The 27,549-nt window shown below is 41.3% G+C and overlaps 1 protein-coding gene across 7 annotated transcripts in view, besides 1 other annotated feature; it reads left to right on the forward strand.

Annotated features, from left to right (window-relative positions):
* KDM2A (lysine demethylase 2A) overlaps positions 1–27,549 on the forward strand; it is a 138,820-nt gene that overhangs the window by 70,008 nt on the left and 41,263 nt on the right. For 6 of the 7 annotated variants that reach the window (NR_027473.2, NM_012308.3, XM_017017391.2 and 3 more), the window contains 3 exons: positions 18,240–18,418; positions 26,070–26,176; positions 26,586–26,679. Coding sequence is in view for 5 of the 7 variants with exons in the window: in NM_012308.3 (NP_036440.1) it covers positions 18,240–18,418; positions 26,070–26,176; positions 26,586–26,679 (380 nt within the window). In the remaining 2 variants the exon portion in view is untranslated. Of the gene's footprint in view, positions 1–18,239; positions 18,419–26,069; positions 26,177–26,585; positions 26,680–27,549 lie in introns of those variants that run through there. The other variant, XM_011544861.2, reaches the window with a different exon arrangement.
* Positions 8,098–8,598: an enhancer, noted in NCBI's record as "H3K4me1 hESC enhancer chr11:66964839-66965339 (GRCh37/hg19 assembly coordinates)". NCBI's record gives its function as "activates a minimal SCP1, AML or CMV promoter by ChIP-STARR-seq in primed H9 embryonic stem cells {active_cell/tissue: H9 hESC(primed)}" and the evidence as "EXISTENCE:reporter gene assay evidence [ECO:0000049][PMID:30033119]".

Genomic DNA, 27,549 nt, shown 5'->3' on the forward strand with positions numbered 1-27,549 from the left:
AAATTGTGGAATTTAACAATCAGTGAATCAAAGAAGAAATCACATGGAAATTAGAAAATACTTATAGATGAATGAACACAACACAGCCTACCAAAACTTATAGGGATCAGTGAAAGCAACATTAAAGGAGAAATTTGTAGCTATAAATGCTTTGATTATAAAACACGGAATCACTGATTGCAGTAGCATGTGCCTATAGTTCCAGCTACTTGGGAGACTGAGGCAGGAGGATTGCTTGAGCCCAGGATTTTGAGGCCAGCTTGGGCAACATAGCAAGACCTTATCTCGGCCGGGCGAGGTGGCTCACGCCTGTAATCCTAGCACTTTGGCAGGCTGAGGCCGGTGGATCACCTGAGGTCAGGAGTTCGAGACCAGCCTGGTCAACATGGCGAAACCCCATCTCTACTAAAAATACAAACATTAGCCAGGCATGATGGTGGACACCTGTAGTCCCAGCTACTCGGGAGGCTGAGGCAGGAGAATCACTTGAACCTGGGAAGCGGAGGTTGCAGTGAGCCAAGATCGCACATTGCACTCCAGCCGGGGCAACAAAGTGAGACTCTGTGTCAAAAAACAAACAAACACCAGTCTCTTTAACAAAAGAAGAGAAACTTAAAATCAACAACCTAACCTTACAACTTAAATAACTAGAAAAAGGACAAACTAAACCTAAAGCTAAAGGAAGTAATAAAGATTAGAGATAAATGAAATAAAGAATAGAAAAACAATAGAGAAAAGTCAAAGAAACCAAAAGGTGGTTCTTCTTTGAAAAGATAAACAAAATTGACAAAGCTTTATTTAGCCAGATGGACTAAGGAAAGAAAGATCGAATTACTAAAATCAGAAGTGAAAGTGAGGGCCGAGCGCGGTGGCTGACACCTATAATCCCAGCACTTTGGGAGGCCGAGGCGGGTGGATCACCTGAGGTGAGGAGTTCGAGACTAGCCTGGCCAATGTGATGAAACCCTGTCTCTACTAAAAATACATAAATTAGCTGGATGTGGTGGTACATGCCTGTAATCCCAGCTACTCAGGAGGCTGAGGCAGGAGAATGGCTTGAACCTAGGAAGCAGAGGTTGCAGCGAGCCAAGATTGCACCACTGCACTCCAGCCTGGGTGACAAGAGCAAACCTCCGACTCAAAAAAAGAAAGTGAAAGTGAGGACATTACTTCCAATTCTGTAGAAATAAAAAGGATTGTAAGAGAATACTATGCGTGGTGGCTCATTCCAGTAATCCTAGCACTTTGGGAAGCCAAGGTGGGTGCATTGCCTGAGCTCAGGAGTTTGAGACCATCCTGGGCAACATGGTGAAACCCTGTCTCTACTGAAAATACAAAAACTGAGCTGGACATGGTTGCATGTTCCTGTAATCCCAGCTACTCAGGAGGCTGAGTCATGAGAATCGCTTGAACTGAGGAGGCGGAGGTTACAGTGAGCCCAGATTGTGCCATTGTACTCCAGCCTAGGCAACAGAGCGAGACTCTTTAAAAAAAAAAATACTACGAACAATTGTTCATCAATAAATTGGATAACCTAGATGAAGTGTACAAATTTCTAGAAACACAAAACTTGTTAAGACTAAATCACTAAGAAATAGAAAATTTGAATAGAACTATATTGTAGTTAGTGAGGAGATTGAGTCAATATTCAAAAATCTCCCAACGAAGAAAAGGCTGGGCCTGATGGCTTTGGTGGTGAATTCTACCAAACATTTAAAGAGGAACTAACACCAATTCTTCTCAAACTTTTCCAAAGAATTTAAGAGGGAACACTTCTTTTTTTTCTTTTTTTGAGATGAGTCTCGTTGCTGTCGCCAGGCTGGAATGCAGTGGCGCGATCTCGGCTCACTGCAATCTCCACCTCCTGGGTTCAAGCGATTCCCTGCCTCAGCCTCCCAAGTAGCTGGGATTATGCCCGGCTAATTTTTTGTATTTTAGTAGAGATGGGGTTTCACCATGTTGGCCAGGATGGTCTCGATCTCCTGACCTCGTGATCTGCTCGCCTCGGCCTCCCAAAGTGCTGAGATAACAGGCGTGAGCCACTGCGCCCGACCAAGGGAACACTTCTTAAGTCTTTCTGTGAGGCCAGCATTACCCTGATACCAAAGCGAGACAAAGACAGTACAAGAAAACTACAAATCAATATCCTTTTTGAACAATGATGTAAAACTCCTCAACAAAATACTTGCATACTAAATTCAGCAGCATATTAAAAGGATTATACACCATGACCAAGTGGGATTTATTCCTGGAATAGATGATTTGACATGTGAAAATCAATCAATATAAATTTCATTAACAGTGAAGGAGGAAAAAAGTTACATGATCATCTCAATTGACACAGAGAAGGTATTTGACAAAATTCAACACCTTTTCATGATAAAAACACTTAACAAACTAGAAATAAAAGGAAACTACCTTAACATAATAAAAGCTTTATATGAAAAACCCTCAGTAAATATCATACTCAGTGGTGAAACACCAAAAGCATTTAAGATCAGGAACAGCGTAAAGGCGCCTGCTTTTACTGCCTCTATTCAATGTAGCACTGGAAGTCCTAACAGAGCAATTAGGCAAAAAAAGGAAAGAAAAGGCATACAAATTGTAAAGGAAGAAGTAAAGTCACCTCTGTTGGCAGATGATATGACTTTTTTATTTGTTATTAGTATTTTTCTTTGGTTCCTTCTATCATGTGCATCTTTACACTTAGTTTTGCTGTTTGTCAAATATTTCAAATATACATAAAATTACGGAGAATATCATTAACAAAATGAACACCCATCTATAAACCCAAAATGAAGATCCACTTGTGTACAACTTAGTAAGAAATTAACCTTTTGCCATATTTACTTCATCTCTTTTTGCAGAAGTTTGTTAGCATTGACATCCACTGTGTACCATTCTTCCCATTTTCAATCCCTTTTCCTTCCTCCTCTCTCCAGAGATAGGCACTCCCTTGGTTTTTAATGCAGTCTGTAGACATGCATATTGCTTTGCATGTTTTTAAACATTAACAAATGGCATCATAGTGTACAAATCATTCTGCAACTTGCTTTTTCACTAAACATTGCATTCATTTTAACTACCATATAGAATTCCATTGTATGAATATACCATAATTTACCCATTCCCCACCAATGGACATTTACTTTGTTTCCATTTCTTTTTTTTTTTTTTTTTTTTTTTTTTTTGAGATGGAGCATCTCTCTTGGTGCCCTGACTGGAGTGCAGTGGCGTGATCTTGGCTCACTGCAACCTCCACCTCCCAGGTTCAAGCGATTCTCCTGCCTCAGCCTCCCGAGTAGCTGGGATTACAGGCATGCAACACCATGCCTGGTCAATTTTGTATTTTTTAGTACAGATGGGGTTTCACCATGTTGGGCAGGCTGGTCTCAAACTCCTGACCTCAAGTGATCCATCCGCCTTGGCCTCCCAAAGTGCTAGGATTACAGGCATGAGCCACCGTGCCTGGCCTCCATTTCTTGTCTTACAAATAATGCTACAATGAAGGTTTATAAATTTCTTCTTGGGTACACATTTGAGAGTTTAGACGGTATAAGCCTAGAAGTGGGCCAAAGAGTATACATTTTCACCTTGTCAAATTCCTCTCCAAAGTGATTGTACCAGTTTACACTTTGTTGAGTCAAGTAGGAGAGTGTCCTTTGTTCCATATTCACTCAAATACTTGATATTATGAGATATTCATTTATTTTTTATTTTTATTTTTTGGCTAGGGGGTATCAGAGTCTCACTTTGTTTCTCAGTCTGGAGTGCAGTGCCGCGATCTCGGCTTACTGCAACCTCCGCCTCCCAGGTTCAAGTGATTCTCCTGCCTCAGCCTCCTGAGTAGCTGGAATTACAGGCTCTTGCCACCACACCCGGCTCATTTTTGTATTTTTAGTATAGGCAGGGTTTTGCCATGTTGGCCAGGCTGATCTTGAACTCCTGACCTCAGGTGATCCACCCGCCTCAGCCTCCCAAAGTGCTGGGATTACAGGCGTGAGCCACCGCACCTGGCCGAGACTTAAACTTTCAACAATCTGATGGGTATGAAAGAGAAACTTGTAGTTTTTAATCTGCATGTCCTGTAAGGATAATCATGTTCTCAGAAATGTTTATTGACTATTTGGGCCATCTATTTAAATTTTTTAAACTTTCATGTTCCCTTTTATTCTGTTATCACTTTCTCATAGTGATTAATAGTAGAAACTCTAGTTTTAAAAGTTAATACACATAAAGTGCTCAGAAGAGTCACAGCCATGTTGTTGGAGACAGTATTATTTTTATCCTTTTAAATACGTATATATTGGCTGGGCATGGTGGCTCACGCCTGTAATCCCGGCACTTTGGGAGGCTGAGGCAGACAGATCACCTGAGGTCGGGAGTTCGAGACCAGCCTGACCAACATGGCAAAACGCCGTATCTACTAAAAATACAAAAATTAGCCAGGCATGGTGGCAGGCGCCTCTACTCCCAACTACTTGGGAGGCTGAGGCAGAAGAACTGCTTGAACCCAGGAGCGGGAGGTTGCGGTAAGCTGAGACCATGTCGTTGTATTCCAGCCTGGGCAACAGAGTGAGACCCCATCTCAATACATACATACATACATACGTATTTATTGAGACAGGGGTCTCGCTGTGTTGAAGAAGCTGGTCTCTAGCCCCAGGCCTCAAGCTGTCCTCCTGTCTTGGCCTCCCAAATTGCTGAGATTATAGGCGTAATCTCACTGCACCTGTCCACCATTTTAGATACTAATCTTGCCAAAGTTATTTTTAAAATTTAATCTCATTTCTTTGAGTGTTTCTACTTATATTTTCTAATCTTTTATGATAAATTATTTCAGCAATTTTAGCATTCATGACTTTAATCCTTTTGTTTCTTTTCTAGTATTAGTTTAAAATGTTCCATTTCTGTTCTCTTTGTGTATCTCAGTTCTTGCTTCAATGACAGCAAATAAAAATCCTGGTCTTGTGGAACAGCTGAGTAGTACATCCTTTCCCAAACTGGGGGAGGGTGGTTGCTTTACCCCCAGCTGTCCCAGCAGCTGCTCAGCCAGATTCCCAGATCTAGCATCTTTCAAAACATCTCAACCTTGGTAACTCAGATAAAAGTCTTTCTGAGGCGTAGGTCCTCCTGTGTCAATGGCACATCTGAATTACTAACAACGTGTTCTTTTCTTAAGTTATGTTATCTAGTCAGTTGATCAGGAGTTATATATACTGTGGACCCTGAAAACATTATCCCTGCATTATTGAGTAAATCATGTAAATACTGCGAGAAGGTAAAAAACACCACAAAAGCAATGTGGCATAACACTTTGTGCATTACATAGGCACCCAATACATATTGGTGATTGCCTAGTAAAAAATAGAGGGCTCTCAGTGCTGCTTACCTGCCTCTAATAAAAATGTAGGTGGTATTAAACCACAAGCTAGACCATCAGGAAGGAGGTACAAGGATAGATCCACAACCTGCTCTTGGCCTTTATCTCAGCAAGCTACCTGGCTTCTGTACTCCTACTTTGATTCACCTGCTGTTGCAGCAGGGTTTTAGGAGGATCCTATTTGTGTATCTAAGATTCAACATTCATGAAGGAGCAGAAATACTTGGATTTGCCTCTTAGCTCTTGGAGCTGGAGAGTGGATGACTTCCTGCAAGGCACGATTTTTGGATTGGCTTCTCAATTATTACAGGAATCCTCAACTTTTAGAATTGCCAGCCTATTCATCTGATCTTGAAAGTGTACAAACTTACCTTCAAACAGTGTAGAATATATGCAATTCTGGACCTAGACAGAGGCAATAACCTAAAGACATTTGCAGCTCATTTCTTGTCAGAACCCATTGAGAATAGTGGTATTGATGGAAGACTGTCAAGCCCATCCAGTTCTCTAGTCTAAATAGTCTCAGTTTATCCATGACTTGAGCCATCTAAAAGTTGCATAACAAATTAGCCGGGCGTGGTGGCGCATGCCTATAGTCCCAGCTACCCGAGAGGCTAAGGCAGGAGAATCACTTGAACCCAGAAGGCGAAGGCTGCAGTGAGCCGAGATCGCACCACTGCACTCCAGCCTGGGTGATCGAGTGAGACTCCGTCTCCAAAAAAAAAAAAAAAAAAAAAAAAAGTTGAATAACATTAATACAGCAATATTCTTCAAGGTGGTTGGATTGCTGGTGATTTTTATTTTCTTTTTAAACTCTTCTATTTTCCAAATTTTATGCCATGGGACTGTGTTCTAAACTGTCCAGTATGAAGAAAACAAAGAGCTCTGTTACTATAAAGAAAATGGTTTTCAGGTCTCTATTCAGTGGCTCTGGTGTAATAGAGCTGTATCAAGTCTTTCTTTGCAAAACTCTTTATTTCCTTTTATTTTTATTAGTTGTTCATGCTCTATGCAGTCTGTATAACCTTGGGTTTTAAATTCTTCAAGCAAATTGCAGTTTTCTGTTAGAACTTTAGTTATATTGTACTTATATTCAGTAAAGAAAATACTTAACATAAGCCAACAATTGTCAGCTTGTCCTAATTTAGTTAGAATTGTTAATATTGCCTGTGTATTTACCCAGTTCAAAGCTGGTTCCGTTGCCAGTATTTTATTTTCTATTTTATAACCAGTTCTCAATAGGCTCCAATAAGGAATAATTTTTCTACCACTTACAGCAACTTTCTTTGCCAAATCCACAATATCTTCTATCAACTCAAGATGTTGTGATTTCTTCAAACTTATCTCAGAACCACAAGAATTGCTAAATTTCTCTCACTTAGATGTAATCTTTTTATTGCGTACCCACCCCATCCCAGTTAAGCTGAGTCACACGAACATAATTGTCGGTCATAAATTGAGGAGCAACGACATAGTCACCCATATTAGGGCAATTTTCTAACAAGACATAATCCACTACAGTGAAACTTTCTTTGGCAAAATCATCCATGGTGCACGAGCAGGGGCTTGCAGCCCATGAGCCTCAGATGCAGGCTACCACTGCTGCCACCTCCAGTTCTTCATGTCAGCCAGATGGCAGGAGGGAGCAAGTGGGCCTATTACAGTTTTAAGAGATGAGGTCTCACTGTGTTGCCCAAGCTGGCCTTGAAATCCTGGACTCAAGCGATCTTCCTGCTTTAACCTCTTGCATAGCTGGGACTGCAAGCATGAGCCACAGTGCTTGGCTGAATGATAATTCATAGTAGCTAAAATGTAGCAACCTAAATGTCCATCAGCAGTGAATACTTTAGCATAATGTGCTATTTCCATTCACTGGATTATTATTTAGCCTTAAAAAGGAAGGAAATTCTGATATATACTACACATTACATGAATCCTAAGGACTTATGCTAAGTGAAATAACCCAGCCACAAAAATATAAATACTGTGTAATTCCACTGACATGAAGTATATAGAGTAACCAAAATCATGGAGACAAAATAGAATAGTGGTTACTGGGAAGAAGGGCAATGGGGACTTAAAACGGCCATAGTTTCAGTTTTATAAGATGAACAGAGTTATGGAGATGGATGGTGGTAATGGTTGCACAACATTGTGAATATATTTAATAACACTGAACTGTGCTCCTAAAAATGGTTAAGATAGAACATTTTATGTTTTTTGTATTTTACTACCATTTTTTACAAGTTGAAAAAAAAATAGACTCCTGGATATAGTATTCAAATTTCTGAGCTATGCAAATATGTAAGATCTTATTCAGTCATCAGTCTTCGGTTTTCTTCCCACTTCCTTACCACTTTTCCTTTCCTCGGTAATCTTCTTACTGCTAATAATGATCTTTGGAAGCCCTTTGTAACCTTGTATTTTCTAAATAAACCCAAGGGTGAACACAAATAACTTTGCTGTGATTTAAAATAAAATAGCAATTATATCTAACCTAACAGACCTTATCAGAAATAAACTTTTTTTTTTTTTTTTGAGACAGGGTATTGCTTTGTCACCCAGGCTGGAGTGCAGTGGGGCAATCATGCCTCCCTGCAGCCTTGACTTCCTGGGCTCAAGCGATCCTCCCACCTCAGCTTCCTGAGTAGCTGGGACCACAGGTGGGCACCACCATGCCCAGATAATTTTTGTATTTTTTTTGTAGAGATGGGATTTTGCCATGTTGCCCAGGCTGGTCTTGGAACTCCTGAGCTCAAGCAGTCAGCCCGCCTCGGCCCCACCAAAGTGTTGGGATTACAGGCGTGAGCCACTCTGCCCAGCCAGTGACTAACTTTCTATCCAGGTTTTTTAAAGTCTGGGTGTTTTTTTGTTTCTTGGATAGCTAATCATTGGCAAAATGCAGTGAAAAAGCTGATCCAGCTCTTCTTTTCAGCCTGTGGTGGAATGTTACTTCTTCAGTGTCAGTTTATGTCTCAGAAAGAAGTAAGCCATTCTGTCTTGTAAACTTTCTGTGATAGGATGTATTTGGTTGAGAATATGGACTCTGTAGCAAAACTGTCCTGAGCTACACTAATTACTAGCTGTGTAATCTTGGACAAGTTACTTAAATGTGAAGTGCTTAGAACAGTGTCTGGCATATACAGTTGACCCTTGAACAATGCAACGGCTAGAGGCACCAACCCCCAGCAAGTCAGAAATCTACATATAAATTGGAATTCCTCAGAAACTTAACTACCAATAACCTACTGTTTACTGGATGCCTTATGGATAATGTAAACAGTTGATTAACATATTTTATGTTATACATATTATATACTGTATTCTTACAATAAAGTAAGATAAAAATTCCTTAAATCATAAAAGAACATTTGTTTACTATTAAGATTGAAAATATATTTACTATCTTTTCATCTTCATGATGAGTAGGCTAAGGAGGAAGAGGTGGGATTGCTTTTGCTGTCTCAGGAGTGGCAGGGATGGAAGAAAATTCATGTATAAGTGAACCCATGTAGTTCAAACCAGTGTTGTTCAAGGATCAACTGTGCTGAGTTCTCAGTAAATGTTAGCTATTACTTTGACCATCACAATTTTATCTAAGTGCTCTGGTCCATACCCAGAGTATGAGCGCACCTCATTTTATTGCACTTTGCAGATAGTGTATTTTTTTTTTTTTTTAACAAATTGAAGGTTTCTGGCAAACCTTCATTGAGCAAGTCTGTAGCCGCCATTTTTCCAATAGCATATGCTCACTTCATGTCTGTCACATTTTAAAACCTTTTCATTATGCCGGGCGCAATGGCTCATGCCTGTAATCCCAGCACTTTGGGAGGCCGAGGCGGGCGGATCTCGAGGTCAGGAGATCGAGACCACGGTGAAATCCCATCTCTACTAAAAACACAAAAAATTAGCTGGGCGCAGTGGCGGGCGCCTGTAGTCCCAGCTATTTGGGAGGCTGAGTCAGGAGAATGGCGTGAACCCGGAAGGCGGAGGTTGCAGTGAGCTGAGATCCCGCCACTGCACTCCAGCCTGGGTGACAGAGTGAGACTCTGTCTCAAAAAAAAAAAAAAAGCTTTTCATTATTATTTGTCAGTGGTGATCAGTAGTTTGTTTTGTTTTGTTTTGTTTTGTTTTGTTTTGTTTTTGACGGAGTCTCACTCTGTTGCCCAGGCTGGAATGCAGTGGCACAATCTTGGCTTACTGCAACCTCCACCTCCTGGATTCAAGCAATTCTCATGCCTCTGCCTCCCGAGTAGCTGAGATTACTGACATGCACCACCATGCCTGGCTAATTTTTGTATTTTTAGTAGAGATGGAGTTTCACCATGTTGGCCAGGGTGATCTTAAACTCCTGACCTCAAGTGATTCACCCGCCTTGGCCTCCCCAAAGTGCTGAGATTACAGGCATGAGCCACTGCACCCAGCAGATCAGTGATCTTTGACATTACTATTATACTTGTTTTGAGGTGCCATGAACTGTATCCATATAGGAGAGCAGACTTGAAATGTTGTATATGTTCTGACTGCTTTGCCACATTGCTATTCCCTTGTTCTCTTTCTCTCCTCAGGCCTCCCTATTTCCTGAGACACAACAATATTGAAATTAGGCCAACTAATAACACATGGCCTCTTAAGTGTTCAAGTGAAAGGAAGAGTCCCACCTCTCTCACTTTAAATCAAAAGTTAGAAATGATTAAGTTTAGTGATTAAGGCATGTCAAAAGCCAAGATAGGCCTTTTACATCAAATAGTTAACCAAGATGTGAATGCAAAGGAAAGGTTCTTGAAGAAAATTAAAAGTGCTACTCCAGTGAACATGGGGATAAGAAAGAAAAACAGCCTTATCACTGATAACGGAGAAAGTCTGAGTGGTTTGGATAGAAAATCAAACCAGCTATAACATTCCCTTAACAAACCCTAAGCCACAGTAAAGCCCTGATTCTCTTTAATTCTGTAAAGGCTGAGAGAGGTGAGGGAGCTGCAGAAGAAAAGTTTAAAGCCAGGAGAGGTTGGTTTATGAAGTTTAAGAAACCATCTTTGTAACAATGAAGTGCAAGGTAAAGCAGCAGCACATGCTGATATAGAAGCTGCAGCAGGTTATCCAGGAGAACCAGCTAGGATCATTGATGAAGGAGGCTGCACTAAACAACAGATTTTCCATGTAAATGAAACAGCCTTCTATTGGAAGAAGATAGCATCTAGGATTTTCATAGCTAGATAAAAGGCAGTTGCTTCAAGGGACAAGTTGACTCTCTTGTTAGGGGCTAATGCAGCTGGTGATTTTAATTGGAAACCAAATTTAACATTCCAAAAAAAGCTTATTTACCATTCCAAAATCCTAGGGCCCTTAAGAATTATGCTAAATCTACTCTATTAATGGAACAACAAAGCCTAGATGATATCACATCTGTTTTACAGCATGGTTTACTGAATTTATTAAGCCCACTGTGGAGATCTGCTCAGGAAAAAAGGTTCCTTTCAAAATGTTACTGCTCACTGGCAGTGTACCTCTTCACCCAAGACCTCTGATGGGAATGTACAAAGAGATTAATATTGTTTGTGTGGTTTTTTTTTTTCTTTTTAGACGGAGTCTCTCTCTGTTGCCCAGGCTGGAGTGCAGTGGCACGATCTCAGCTCACTGCAAGCTCCACCTCCTGGGTTCACGCCATTCTCCTGTCTCAGCCTCCCGAGTAGCTGGGACTACAGGCGTCCGCCACCACGTCCGGCTAATTTTTTTCGTATTTTTAGTAGAGATGGGGTTTCACCATGTTAGCCAGGATGATCGCGATCTCCTCACCTCATGATCCGCCCGCCTCAGCCTCCCAAAGTGCTGGGATTATAGGCGTGAGCGACCGTGCCCAGCCTGTTTGGTTTTTTAAGACAAGGTCTCATTCTGTTGCCCAAGTTGGAGTGCAATGGTACAATCATGGCTCACTGCAGGCTCAGTGTCCCTGGGCTCAGGTGATCCTTCCACCTCAGCCTTTAGCTGGGACTACAAGCACATGCCAACACACCCAGTTAATTTTTGTGTTTTGGTAGAGACACAGTTTGACCCTGTTACCCAGGCTGGTTTAGAACTCCTGGGCTCAAGGGATTTGCCTGCCTCAGCTTCCCAAAGTGCTGGGATTACAGGCATGAGCTACCATGCCTTGCCTGAGATTAATACCGTTTTCATGCCAGATAGCAGTATTCATTCTGTGGCCCATGGATCAAGGAGTAATCTCAACTTTAGTCTTATTATTTAAGAAATATATTTCATGGCCTGGCACAGTGGCTCACACCTGTAATCCCAGCACTTTGGGAGGTCGAGGCGGGTGGATCACGAGGTCAGGAGATTGAGACCATCTGGCTAACACGGTGAAACCCAGTCTCTACTGAAAATAGAAAAAAAATTAGCCGGGCGTGGTGGCGGGCGCTTGTAGTCCCAGCTACTGGGGAGGCTGAGGCAGGAGAATGGCGTGAACCCGGGAGGCGGAGCTTGCAGTGAGCCGAGATTGCACCACTGCACTACAGCCTGGGCGACTGAGCAAGACTCTGTCTCAAAAAAAAAAATATATATATATATATGTGTGTGTGTGTGTGTATATATATATATTTCATAAGGCTATAGCTGACATAGTGATTCTGCTGGTAAATCTGGACCAAATAAATTGAAAAACATCTGGAAAGGATTCACCACTGTAGATGCCATTAAGAACATATTTATGGCCAGGCATAGTGGCTCATGTCTGTAATCCCAATGTTTTGATAGGCCCAGGTGGTGGATCCCTTGAGGCCAGGAGTTTGAGACCAGCCTGGGAAACATAGTGAGACCATCTCTACAAAAAATTAGCCATGGCCCGGTGCGGTGGCTCACGCCTGTAATCCTAGCAGTTTGGGAGGCCAAGGTGGGCAGATCACAAGTCAGGGGTACAAGACCAGCCTGACCAGTATGGTGAAACCTGGTCTCTACTAAACATACAAAAATTAGCCGAGTGTGGTGGCATGGGCCTGTAGTCCCAGCTACTTGGGAGGCTGAAGCAGGAGAATCACTTGAACCTGGGAGACGGAGGTTGCAGTGAGCCAAGATCACACCACCCCACCACACTCCAGCCTAGGCAACAGAGCTAGACTCCATCTCAAAAAAAAAAAAAAAAAAAAAAAAAAAAAAAAATTAGCCATGCTTGGTGGTGTACACCTGTAGTCCCAACTATTTGGGTGGCTGAGGTGGGAGGATCACTTGAGCCCAGGAATTCGAGGTTGCAATGAGCTCTGATCTTGCCACTCTATTCCAGCCTGGGCATGAGAGTGAGACCCTGTCTCTAAAAAAAATAATTAAAATGAAAAAGAGCATTTGTGGTACATGGGAGGAGGTCAAAATATCAACATTAACAGGAGTTTGGAAAAAGTTGGTTCCCACCCTTATTGATGACTTTGAGGGGTTCAAGACTTCAGTGGAGGAAGTAACTGCAAATGTGGTGAAAATAGTGAGAGAGCTAGAATTAGAAATGGAGTCGAAGATGCGACTGAATTGCTGCAATCTATAATGAAACTTGAGCAGATGGAAGAGTTGCTTCTTATGGATGAGCAAATAAAGAAGTTTGTTTTTTTAAGATGGAATCTACTCCTGGTGGAGATGCTGTAAACATTGTTAAAATAACAAGGTATTTAGGATATTACATAAAGTGAGTTTATAAAGCAGCAGTAGGGTTTGAGAGGATTGACTCCAATTTTGAAAGACGTTCTACCATGGGTAAAATGATATCAAACAGCATTGCATGCTACAGAGAAGTCTCTTTGTGAAAGGAAGTATCAATCCATGTTGCAAACTTTATTGTTGTCTTATTTTAAGAAATGTCAGCTGGGCATGGTGGCTCACGTCTGTAATCCTAGCACTTTGGGAGGCTGAGGCGGGTGGATCACAAGGTCAGGAGATTGAGACCATCCTGGCTAACATGGTGAAACCCCGTCTCTACTAAAAATACAAAAAAAAAACTAGCCAGGCATGGTGGCAGGCACCTGTAGTCCCAGCTACTCAGGAGGCTGAGGCAGGAGAATGGCGTGAACCCAGGAGGCGGAGCTTGCAGTGAGCCGAGATCGCGCCACTACGCTCCAGCCTGGGCGACAGAGCGAGACTTCGTCTCAAAAAAAAAAAAGAAAAGAAATTGTCGACCCGAGAAACAGCGAGATCTTGTATCGGCAAAAATTAAAGGATTAGCCAGCCATTGTGGCACGTGCCTGTAGTCCCAGCTACTCCGGAGGCTAAGGTGGAAGGATTACCAGAGTCCAGGAGTTTGTGGCTGTGGTGAGCTGTGATTGCACCAGTGCACTCCAGCCTGGGCAACAGAGCAAGACCCTGTCCGTCCGCCGCCAAAAAAAAAAAAAAAGAAAAACGGTTTACACTTCAGCGAAAGAAAAAGAAGTTGCTATATCCACCCCAACCTTCAGCAACCACCACCACTCTGATCAGTCAGCAGCCCTCAACAATGAGGCAAGTTCCTCCACAGGCCAAGATTATGACTCACTGAAGGCTCAGATGATTGTTAGCATTTTTAGCAATAAAGTATTTTTAAATAAAAGTATGTACCTTGTTTTTTAGATACAGTGCTGTTGTACACTTAATAGCCTACAGTATAATGTAAATATATGCACTGTGAAACCAAAAAGTTTTGTATGACTTGCTTACTGGAATAGTTGCTTTATTGCAATGATCTGGAACTGAACCCACAATATCTCCAAGATATGGTTATACTAAGTAGTCTGAAAATACAAAATAGTCTAGTAATAAATAGTCTATAATAAATAATATATTAATATAATTATATTTATTAATTATTAATAATTATTAATATATATTAATATATTTTTATATAATATATAATATAAAATATATAATAAATAAGTAGTCTAGTAATAAAAGAATACCAGCCTGGGCAACATAGTGAAACCTTGTCTTTACCAAAAATACAAAAAATTAACTGGGTATGGTGGCATGCACTGTAGTCCCAGCTACTCAGGAGGCTGAGGTGGGAGGATCACTTGAGCCTGGGAGGCAGAGGTTGCATTGAGTCTAGATTGTGCCACTGCACTCCAGCCTGGGTGACAGAGTGAGGCCCCATCTCAAAAGGAAAAAAGAATAAAATGCTTTCCTCTACATTCTTTTTTTTTTTTTTCTTTTTTCTTTTTAAGACAGAGTCTTGCTGTGTCGCCCAGGTCCGGAGTGCAGTGGTGCGATCTTGGCTCACTGCAACCTCTGCCTCTTGAATTCAAGCAAATCTCTTGCCTCAGCCTCCTAAGTAGCTGGGACTATGGCCGCGTACCACCACGCCCAGCTAATTTTTGTATTTTTAGTAGAGATGGGGTTTCACCATGTTGGCCAGGCTGGTCTCAAACTCCTGACCTCAAGTGATCTGCCCGCCTCGGCCTCCCAAAGTGCTGAGATTACAGGCGTGAGTCACCACACCTGGCCTCCCCTACATTCTTGAAGGAAAGCATTTACTTGTTATTTCTTAAATTATGGTTAAATACAGGTAATATAAAGTTTACCATCATAACCATTACGTTTTTTTCTTTTTGCATAGAACATTTCATTGTCATGTACCCATTTTAAAGCATACCAGTGTCATCAAGTTTTTTCACAGTGTGCAACCATCACCACTATCTAGTTCTAGAATTTCATCACCCCAAACAAACTCCATACCTTTGAGCAGTCATTCTCCGTTTTCTCCTCCACTTAACTCCTGGCAACAACAAATCTATTCTGTCTTGGTGAATTTGTCTAATCTGTATATTTCATATAAATGGAACTATATAATATGTAGCCTTTTGTGTAGGCTTCTTTGATACAGTGTGTTTTCTTTTTTCTTTTTTTTTTTTTTGAGACAGAGTCTCACTGTGTTGCCCAGGCTGGAGTGCAGTGGTGTGATCTCTGCTTACTGCAAGCTCCGCCTCCTGGGTTCATGCCATTCTCCTGCCTCAGTCTCCCGAGTACCTGGGACTACAGGTGCCTGCCACCACACCTGGCTAATTTTTTGTATTTTTAGTAGAGATGGGGTTTCACCGTGATAGCCAGGATGGTCTTGATCTCCTGACCTCGTGATCCACCCACCTCGACCTCCCAAAGTGCTGGGATTACAGGCGTGAGCCACCAAACCCAGCTGATACAGTGTGTTTTCTTGGTATATCCATGTTGTAGCATGTATTAGTACTTCATTCCTTTTTATGGTCGACTATTTCCTTGTATGGATCAACCACATTTTGTTTATTCATATCATGGTAAACATTTGTGTTATTTCCATCTTTTAGCTGTTTTAAATAGTGCTGCAGTGAATATTTATGTACAAGCTTTTGTTTGAACACCTTGTTCAATTCTTTTAGATATATGCCTAGAAGTGGAATTGCTGAGTCACATGGTCATTCTGTGTTTAGTTTATTGAGGAACTGCAAATCCAATTTCCATAGCGGCTGCACCATCTTATATTCCCACCAGTAGATGTATGAGGGTTCCAATTTCTCTGCATTTTTGCTAGCACTCATTATTTTCCATTTTTTAAATTATAGCGATCCTAGTGGGTGTGAAGTGGTATTTCTTGGCAGTTTTGATTTGACATTCACTTTTTCTTTTAAAATATGAAGTGTAGGTTCTGTCCATTGCCTTACATTATTAGTTATGTTTTACTAGTAATATATATATTCTGCCTTGTCTATTTCACAGTGGCCATATTCTTCTCTTGGGTATTATCTCCTATCTTTAACTAAGCTATAAATTCCTTAGAGACAGGGTATCAGGTTCTAATGCTACCTGATACATCCAGCCAGGGCAGGTGTTTGTTCGTCTTACAAGGAAGACAATAGATATAAATTTTTTTTTTCTACAGCCTCGACCTCCTGGGCTCAGGTGATTCTCACACCTCACCCTCCCGAGTAGCCGGGATTACGGGCACGCACCACCATGCCCAGCTAATTTTTTGTATTTGTATTTGTATTTTTTTGTTTTGTGTGTGTGTATGTTTAATTTTTTTTGTATTTTTAGTAGAGACGGTGTTTTGCTATGTTACCCAGGCTGGTCTCAAACTCCTGGACAGAAGCTGTCTGCCCGTCTTGACCTCCCAGAGTGATGGGATTATAGATGTGCACCACCGTGCCCGGCCAGACATACAATATTGTCAGCTTTTTATTTTCTCTCCCTTCCTTGACCACCATTTTCTGAATCTTTTAGCTTATATTTTACCTCTGCATGGAATTGTCCCTGTTGAATCATCTCTTGTTAGAATTCTACTTATTCTTCTCCCTCTTTTCCTAAAGCCTTTTCTGATCAGTCTAATAAAAATATGATACTTCCCTTTTGTTTTTACTGCCGCTTGAGCACCTACTTTGTATTAAACATTTTACTTTATCGACTTTAAATCTTCACAGTGGCCCACAAGGTGATACTCATTCTCCACAAGATATTAATGTTCAGAGAAATTATATAACTTGTCTAAGTAGTATAGGAGCTGAGATTTAAACTTAGGTCTCAGGCAGGTGCAGTGGCTCACATGTGTAATCCCAGCATTTTGGAAGGCCAAGGCGGGCAGATCAGCTGAGGTCAGGAGTTTGAGACCAGCCTGGCCAACATGGCAAAACGCTGACTTTACCAAAAATACAAAAATTAGGCAGGCGTGGTGGCACACGGCCATATTCCCAGCTACTTGGGAGGCTGAGGCACAAGAATCTCTTGAACCTGGGAGGTGGAGGTTGCAGTGAGCCAAGATTTCGCACCACTGCACTCCAGCCTGGGTGACACAGCGAGACTGTCTCAAAATAAAATTAAAGAAATAAATAGGCTGGGCATGGTGGCTCACGCCTGTAATCCTAGCACTTTAGGAGGCCAAGACAGGCGGATTGCCTGAGCTCAGGAGTTGGAGGCCATCCTGGGCAACATGGTGAAACCCCGTCTCTACTAAAATACAAAAAATTAGGTGGGGTAGTGGCGTGTGCCTGTAGTCCCAGCTACTGTGGAGGTTGAGGCAGGAGAACTGCTTGAACCCAGGAGGTGGGAGGTTGCAGTGAGCCGAGAGCGTGCCACTGCACTCCAGCCTGAGCGACAGAGCGAGACTCCGTCTCTAAAAAATAAATAAACAAACTTAGGTCTCTTTGACTCCAAAGCTATTGTTTTCTCTCCACTACTATTTTATGCTGACTCTTGTGGCCTTATGCGTTTTGTTGTAGTTGTTATAGTTAACAAGAATCTGATATAGATTTTCGTGTCCATCCTGGTGTCTTTATCATTCTATAAATATTTGTGGAATAAATGAAAAGGGGACTTTGTTCTTCATGAACTAGGATAATTATCTTCATGGGCTAGGATATTAGCAACAGGTTTGCGAAATAGCCCTGTTTAACAAAAGAATATAAATTCAAAATCAGTCTGTTACCCACTAAATTATGGATACTTCATTCAAATTATGAGATAGATTAGGTCAACCTGCATCAAATCAGTATAGATCAGTAAGTAAGAGCTTGACTCTAGAGTGAGCCTGCCCCGGTTCTTTTCCTGCTTTGTTCTGTAAGTTACCTAACATCTGCTTTCTCATGTATGAAGTGGAGATTAGTATTTAGCATTTAGAATTGTTAGGATTAAATGAGACATTAGATAAAAGAGTCAACAACTGACTGTATAGTAAACATGCCTTAGGGAATAATTATTATTAACATTATCCATTGTCTTTCCCATTCTTTGTGATTTGATTATGATTGTTGAGTGAGAACTTTTTCCTTGTGTATTATTGAAAATAAGAAAGGACAGTATTTTTTCTTCTACTTTTTAAAAAATATTCTTACTATATTTAAGGATATTAGTGGCTCGATAGAGATGATCGATGCATCTTTTATGGCAGGGAGTCGTCGCATGGTGGATGTCATGGACGTGAACACACAGAAAGGCATTGAAATGACCATGGCTCAGTGGACACGCTACTATGAGACCCCAGAGGAGGAGCGAGAGAAACTCTATAATGTCATCAGCCTCGAGTTTAGCCACACCAGGCTGGAGAATATGGTGCAGAGGCCCTCCACGGTTAGTGTAATCATTTTCTTCATATTGTCATTGTCACCAAAAGGGTTGTTTTCGGCTGGACGTTGGTAACTGATGCTTGTTATCCCAGCACTTTGGGAGGCCAAGGGAGGCAGATCGCTTGAGCTGAGGAGTTTGAGAGCAGCCGGGGCAACATGGTGAAACCACATCTCTACAAAAAGTACAAAAAAAAAAATTAGCTGGGTGTGATGGCACATGTCTGTAGTTCCAGCTACTCAAGAGGCTGAGGTGGGAGGATCACCTGAGCCCAGGAGGTTGAGGCTGCAGTGACCGGTGATTGCACCACTGCATTCCAGCCTGGGTGACAGAACAAGACCCTGTCTCAAAAATTTAAAATAAAATGCGTTGTTTTTATACTGGGAAATTTTATAACTTTTTGCACATATCAAGATTAAGCTGAAGGTAAACAAGACTATTTGACAAGAATAATTTGTATTTTTATAAAGATATATTGATATTGTATTTTGATAAGAATAACTGCATTTTCCGAAATCATAATAAATTTTAAAATTTTAAAATTTATTATTATTAAAAAAATTTTTTTTTTTTAAAGACAGGGTCTCACAATTTTGTCCAGGCTGACCTTGAACTGCTGGGCTCAAGCAGTTCTCCCACCTTGGCCTCCCAAAGTGCTGGGATTACAGGCGTGAGCCACCGTGCCTGGGCGTGAAATCACTTAATTTTATATAGGGCAGGATTATTCTGATTTGTATCACAGTAACTTAATGTAGGAACATTGACCTTTGGATGTAACGGAGAGGAATATTAAAATTCAACCTTGGGGCCAGGCGCAGTGGCTCATGCTTGGAATCCCAGCACTTTGGGATCCGAGGTAGGCGGATCACCTGAGGTCAGGAGTTTGAGACCAGCTTGGCCAACATGGCAAAACTCCCATCTCTACTAAAAATACAAAAATTAGCCAAGCATGGTTGCATGCGCCTGTAATTCCAGCTACTCGGGAGGCTGAGGCATGAGAATCGCTTGAACCTGGGAGGCAGAGGTTGCAGTGAGCTGAGATCATGCCACTGCACTCCAGCCTGTGTGACAGTGAGACCCTGTCTCAAAAAAAAAAAAAAAAAAATTCACTCTTGACCAGGCATGGTGGCTCACATTTGTAATCCCAACACTTTGAGAGGCTAAGACAGGAGAATTGCTTGAGGCCAGTAGTTCAAGATCAGCCTGGGGAATGTCACGAGACCCCCAAAAATAAAAATAAACATTTTTATTATTTATTATTTTTTTTTTGAGGCCGAGTCTCACATTGTTGCCCGGGATATAGAGTGCGGTGGCACGATCTCGGTTCACTGCAACCTCTGCCTCCCCGGTTCAAGCAATTCTCCTGCCTCAGCCTCCTGAGTAGCTGAGACTACAGGCCACCATGCACTGCTAATTTTTGTATTTTTTTTGTTAGAGACGGGGTTTCATCATGTTGGCCAGGCTGGTCTTGAACTCCTGACCTCAAGTGATCGACCTGCCTCGGTCTCCCAAAGTGCTGGGATTACAGGCATGAGCCACCACACCGGGCCGAAAGGAACTATTTTTGTATTAGTAATCATGTTTATTTGATCATATGGAAGTATAGGAAGACAGGTGGTTAGAATTTAGCCTTCTTATTAGCCTAATGTGATTTGCTAAATAGGAATTTAGTGAGAGGGATGGGATGTAAGAATTCCAGTAACATTATTTATTTATAATTTTATTTTCTTAATATTTCTAGAATTTTATTTTATTATTATTATTATTATTATTATTTTTGAGACAGGTTCTCGCTCTGTTGCCCAGGCTTTAGTGCAGTGGCACGATCTTGGCTCACTGCAGCCTCCGCCTCCCAGGTTCAAGCAATTCTCCCACCTCAGCCTCTCAAATAGCTGGGATTACAGGGACACACCACCACACCCGGCTAATTTTTGTATTTTTAGTAGAGATGGGGTTTCACCATGTTGGCCAGGCTTGTCTCGAACCCCTGACCTCAGGTGATCCACCTGTCTCAGCCTCCCAAAGTGCTGGAATTACAGGTGTGAGCCACTGTACCCGGCCAATTTCCAGAATTTTAATTTAAAAATAACAGGATTGGCCACACACGTTGGCTCATGCCTGTAATTCCAGCACTTTGGGAGGCTGAGGTGGGAGTATCCCTTGAGCCTAGGAGTTCAAGACCAGCCTGGTTAACATAGCAAGACCTCATCTCTACAAAATTTGGAAACTTAGCCAGGCATGGTGGCATGCACCTGTAGTCCTGGTTACTCAAGAGACCGAGGTGGGAGGATTGCTTGAGCCTGGGAGGTTGAGGCTGCAGTGAGCTGTGATCACTGTAGCCTAGCCAACATTGCAAGAATCTGTCTCAAAAAAATAATAAAATGATAAAAAATGTAAATAGAAGCCGAGCATGGTGGCTCATGCCTGTAATCCTAGCACTTGGGGAGGCCGAAGGCAGACAGATTGCTTGAGCTCAGGAGTTTGATACCAGCCTGGGCAACATGGTGAAACCCTGTCTCTATAGAAAAATTAGCCAGGCATGATGGCGTCCCCCATGTAGTCCCAGCTACTCAGGGGGTTGAGGCAGGAGGATTGCTTGAGCCTAGTAATTTGAGACCAGTCTGGGCAACATAATAAGACCTTGTTTCTACTTTTGAAAAAAAAAACAAAAAACAAAAACTAAGCAGCAACAAGAAAAATAACATGATTGTAGCTATAAATGTAAAACTTGACCTGGTCAATACTTTACCATTATTAAGGTTGTGAAATGTCTCACTATTCCACATGAAGCCTTTTTTGTGGCATCCTGAATTTATTCACTCTGTCCCTAGTTTTAATGATAAAAATGTGACATCATTTTATAAAAATTAGAAAAATATATTAACATTAAAGGGCGGAGAAGAACCTATGAGAGGGCTCAGAAATAGAAAATTATTAAGAGAGCAGAGGCCACAATACTAATATCTTACGGGGACCTAAAACATGAAAGATTGAATGAGCTATTACCAAGCTCACATTCTAAAAGCAGGTAAGGTTTTTGTGACCTTGCTATGTAAGTAATAACGTTTATTTTGTTGATAGAATAAGATAGAAGACTTCATGTGGAATAGTCACACATTTCAAAATCTTAATAATGGAAAAGTATCGACCAGGTCAAGTTTTACATTTATAGCTAGAGGCCTGGCACAGTTGCTCACACCTCTAATCCCAGCACTTCAGGAGGCCAAGGTGGGCGTATCACTTGAGCCCAAGAGTTCGAGACCACTCGGGAGGCTGAGGTACAAGAATCACTTGAACCCGGGAGGCAGAAGTTGCAGTGAGCTGAGATGGTGCCACTACACTCCAGCCTGGGTGACAGAATGAGACCCTATTTCAAAACAAACAAACAAACAAAAACATAGCTACAATCATGTTATTTTTGTTGTTGCTGTTTCTATTGGTAGAATTCTTATTCCCCCCATAGTATATCCCTTCATTTATCTAGGTTTTTTCCAGTATATTTCACTAGTGCTTTTTTTAAAAACCAACTTTATTGAGGTAAAATTGATGTTCAGTAAAGTGGACCCCCATTTTAAGTGTGCATTTCAGTGAGTTTTGACAAACATATTTATTCATGTAAGTAACCACCATAGTCAAAATATAGAAAATAAGCCAGGTGCGGTAGCTCACGCCTACAATCCCAGCACTCTGGGAGGCCAAGGCAGGCAGATCACTTGAGGTCAGGAGTTCAAAACCAGCCTGGCCAACATGGTGAAACCCCGCCTCTACTAAAAATACAAAAATTAGCTGGGTGTGGTGGTGCACACCCGTGATCCCAGCTACCTGGGAAGTTGAGGTGGGAGAATCGCTTGAAACCAGGAGGCAGAGGTTGCAGTGAGCCATGATCACACCACTGCACTCCAGCCTGGGTGACACAGTGAGACCCTGTCTCAAAAAAAAAAAAAAAAAAAAAAAAAAAGAATATATATATAATAGCCTATTAGTAGTTCTTTTTTAATTTTTTAATATTCAAAAACTTAATCTTCATTTCTAAAAACTTAATCTTCATGTCTAAAAACTTTGATCTGTCACTTCTCACTTTATATCCTCAAGTTCTAACCTATTTGCATTTCTTAATCCTAGAGTTACATAATCTGTTTGTTCCCTGTGATCTTCACAACCTTCAGGGTTTGCCTATTCATTTATCAGATGCCTACCACATGCTAAGCACTGTCTAGGTACTAGAGATACAGTGGAAAATGATATCATTCTTGTTAGAGACTCAAAGAAAGACAAGAAAATATGCATTTATATAAACTATAGTATGAGCAGTGCTTCAAAAGTGAATAAACAGCCAGGCAAAGTAGCACATGCCTTTAGTCCCAGCTACCTGGGAGGCTGTGGTGGGAGAATTGCTTGAGCCCAGGAGTTTGAGGCAGCCTAGGCAATGTGGCAAGACCCAGTCTTTTAAAATTAAAAAAATTGAATAAAGCAGGATATTGTGGAAGCATTTTGGAAGGATGACCTAATTTAGAAACTATAGGAGAATTAGGGGAAGCTCTTTGGAGGAAGTGGTGCCTAATGTTGACATAAAAGAAATAATGAAGCAAGGAGAGGGAGACCAGAATTACGGGCAGAAGGAATAGCATTTGTAAAAGTAGGTTCCGGGAGGTAAGAAGGGCAACTTTTACATGCCTGTTATAGGAGCTAGCATAAAGTAGAGTTCTATGGTGAGAAGAGATTATTTAGTGCTGCCATTCCAGCAATAACTGAGAGGTAGATTTTAAAATGGCACAAATAATACACATTTGTTTGGTGATGGGGAAATAAGTTCATGGAAGGCTATGAGTTGTTTATGAATAGACTAGGTTCATGATATTGGACTTCTTACCAGTTTGGCCCTAGTTTTGTTGCAGAACAGATTATAACTGGGATCAGAGTATTTAGCAAAGGATCTATCCCAAGGCTAAAGATTAACCTAAGAAGAAAAGCACGAACATGTTACCACAAATTCTCTCTGTAGTCTGAAGATACCTAATAATACCAAAGAAAGGCAGGCAAAAATGACTGACTTTCTTGCTGCAATTAAGAAATTCTGCTTTCTGTGAATGAATGCGTGGTAAAAAAAAAAAAAATACTCATATGTTCTGAACCGTTCCTCTCCCTATTCAGACATGGGAGCTTACAGCGTATTAAGCAAGTACTTTATTCATTATTCTGTTAAAGGCATTCCCATGGACAACACACGGGGATGGGAGATGGTGGCTACTACATTAAGAAACAGTAAATTTTATTTGAAGGAAAGAAAGGCATCCAGGGCTTATTCAATGTTCTGGGACCGGCGGATGCTTGGTTAAAATTGTTGGCTCCCTGAGCAGAAATTCTTTGAAATGGAACAGCAGGTTAACCTTAACCGTTGCTCCTCATCTTGTTTGTTTCTTCCATGTCAGTGGTGATGCTTTCTAAACACTCTCCCACAGTTAACATCTGGGTATCCTCTAGACAACTGCTTCATATCATGCACAACTTTATGCATTTGTCTCCATTCACATTATAAGGGAAGTAAGTGATCAAATACGTAGATGTTGTTACAAAGCTTACCAGATACATGTTTTTTATAACCATAAGTTAGATATTTACCACATCAGCACTGTGCTGAATTCATGGTGGTTTGGCTCTCGAGTTTTACCTACCTGGAGTTCATTGGTTGAGTGTAGACACTTGAAGGCACAGGAAATGTTATAATTTAGTGTAAAATGTTGCGTATTGCTTTCACTTCTCTTTTTTTTCAGCCAGTATTATTTAAAAGATTCCTGGCCGGGCATGGTAGCTCATGCTGTAATCCCAGCACTTTGTGGGGCTGAGGCTGGTGGATTGCCTGAGATCAGAAGTTCGAGACCAGCCTGGCCAAGATGGTGAAACCCTGTCTCTACTAAAAAATACAAAAATTAGTTAGGTGCGGTGGCGGGTGCCTGTAATCCCAGCTACTCAAGAGGCTGAGGCAGGAGAATTGCTTGAACCTGGGAGGCGGAGGTTGCAGTGAGCTGAGATCGCACCACAACATTATAGCCTGGGTGACAGAGCAGACCGTCTCAAAAAAAAAAAAAAAAAAGATTTCTGTATTCTCACATTATTTCAGATTTTAAAAGTGTTTACATTTAATCCTTACAACGTATCTTTGAAGTAGTTATCTTAGTTTTTTTGTGTTTTTGGGTTTTTTATTGAGACAGTCTTGCCCTGTTGCCCAAGCTGGAGTGCAGTGGTGATCGTAGCTTACTGCAGCCTCAACCTCCTGGGTTTAAGCAAACCTCCCATCTTAGCCTCACAAGTAGCTAGGACTATAGGCACATGCCACAACGCCTGGCTGTTTTTTTTATTTTATTTTATTTATTTTTTGAGACGGCGTTTCGCTCTTGTTTCCCAGGCTGGAGTGCAGTGGCACCATCTCGGCTCACCAGAACCTCCACCTCCTGGGTTCAAGCGATTCTCCTGCCTCAGCCTCCCAAGTAGCTGGGATTACAGGCATGCGCCACCATGCGCAGCTAATTTTTTTTTTTTTTTGAGACGGAGTCTTGCTCTGTTACCCAGGCTGGAGTGCAGTGGCGCAATCTCGGCTCACTGCAAGCTCCGCCTCCCGGGTTCATGCCATTCTCCTGCCTCAGCCTCCCGAGTAGCTGGGACTACGGGCGCCCGCCACCACGCCTGGCTAATTTTTTGTATTTTTAGTAGAGATGGGGTTTCACCATGTTAGCCAAGATGGTCTCGATCTCCTGACCTCGTGATCCACCTGCCTCGGCCTCCCAAAGTGCTGGGATTACAGGCGTGAGCCACTGCACTGGGCCTAATTTTGTATTTTTAGTAGAGACGGGATTTCTCCATGTTGGTCAGGCTGGTCTTGAACTTCCGACCTCAGGTGATCCGCCTGCCTTGGCCTCCCAAAGTGTTGGGGATTACAGGTGTGAGCCACTGATCCCAACTATTTTTTTATTTTGAAGAGATGGGTTCTCACTGTGTTGCCCAGGCTGGTCTTAAACTCCTGGGTTCAAGTGATCTTCCCACCTTGGCCTTCCAAAGCTCTGGGATTGCAGGTGTGAGCCACTGTGCCTGGTCTATCTTAGTTTTATAGATGAGTTTGAGGGCCTTATATAGTCTTGAAAAGACATGATAGACCTGGAGCTTCTTATTCCTAAGCTGGTAGTTTCTATAGCACATTGTCAATGCAAGGCTATAAATCTATACTGGATTTTTTTCTTTTTTTTGGCCTAACTTTTGGCATCTTAACTGTTCTAACAATGGTATATATTTTGCTGAGTTTATAGATACCTTCCAGACAACACCTTTTATTGGATTAAAAAATAAAACAAATTATATAAGTATTGACATAGAAGAGAGTTCATAGTTATACACTATTGCATAATTAATGATTCCATTTTGACTAGTGCTGTCTTTACTATTATCATTTGATGGAATGATTAATCTTTATTCTCATATAACAATTATTTCTAGGATGGTTGCCTAGTAATCCTAAGATTCGCCAACAGATTTTTTTAATTTGCTTATAATTAAATTATAGTTTTTTGTTATGTATTTTAAGAAATTCTGCTTTTCTTGACTTTAAAATTATCTTTGACCCCAACCTTTCCCTTGGAGCCCAAGTGTTTCCTCCTTCTATTTAAAGGTGGATTTCATTGACTGGGTAGACAACATGTGGCCAAGGCACTTGAAGGAAAGCCAGACTGAATCAACAAATGCCATCTTGGAGATGCAGTACCCTAAAGTGCAGAAGTAAGTGATGCGCCCTGCATCTTCCTCCGTGTGCTGTGGGAGACCAAAGCAATAGCAAGGATTGGCTTCTCCCTTACGAGCTTTGCTCTGTGTCTTGAATGATTAAAAAGATGAATTATTTAAAGATGAGACTTTACAGTTCCACAAGGAAGAGTGTATGTGAGCATACCATAGCACACAACCACACAGTTAAAGGAAAAAAAACTTACATTTTAGTCAATACGGTAGAAAAAAAAAAAACCTTTTTCTGATAATGTGATGACTTGAAAATGCATTGCTTTTTCTCCTTCTGGAACTTAAGATTAAGTGGAAGATAAAGGGAGTATATAAGAGGAGAGTATGGCATTTTGGTGGGGCAGATGTACTTTTTTCCATCAGTACACTAATGCTGCTGCTTTTTTTGGGTCAGGTACTGTCTAATGAGTGTTCGAGGCTGCTATACTGACTTCCATGTGGACTTTGGTGGTACCTCTGTTTGGTATCACATCCATCAAGGGGGAAAGGTATGGTCATAGTTGTGATAGGGGTTGGAATCTGAAGTTGGTTGTATGACTTTGCTTCAGTTCATGTATACTTAATATACCCTGGAAATGAATCTGTTAGGGAATTGTCCCCATTCGTATCTGGAAAGAATTATAGATTAAGTTCACCTTCTTGGCTAGTGTTCAGTAGAAATTAGTATTCATCTAGTTCACTGTCATTACACCATTGGCACAGCACTTAGTAAATCTCAATAGTCCTGTTTCTAGATTCCTGAATCAGAGTTCTCCAAATGAAGCCAAAGAAGTGATTTTAGAAGGACAAGATAATTTCTGTACTTGGAAGTATAATAAATAGTGGAAGGGAACACGAATTTTGGATAGATTCACTGTGAAATCAGCAAATTAAGATCTAAACCAACTTTCCCTCTATGTAGCCATTGGTCTGAAATATGGCCAAAGGAAGCCTTTAAGTCCTTTTTGAGGATGTAAACAGGTTTTGAAGGATTATCTTTATTCATTCAGTTATATTCCAGCTTGTGAAAATGCTTCTGAATGCTATATGAGAATGGAAATCTAGAATTAATACCCGAGGTTTATAGTATTATACTCTTGTTACTCTTTTTTCTCTAACTTGCAGTGAATGCATTTGTAAGAGAAAAGTAGGAACTAGAATGAGAATAGATAATGCCTTGTTTAAAACATGAGGTCTTGGCCAGGCATGGTGGCTCACGCCTGTAATCCCAGCACTTTGGGAGGCCAAGGCGGGCGGATCAGCTGAGGTCAGGAGTTCAAGACCAGCCTGACCAACATGGAGAAAGTGCATCTCTACTAAAAATACAAAATTAGCTGGGTGTGGTGGTACATGCCTATAATCCCAGCTACTCGGGAGGC

This window comes from Homo sapiens, chromosome 11, assembly GCF_000001405.40.
Source record: "Homo sapiens chromosome 11, GRCh38.p14 Primary Assembly".
In the NCBI taxonomy this organism is placed as follows: Eukaryota; Metazoa; Chordata; class Mammalia; order Primates; family Hominidae; genus Homo; species Homo sapiens.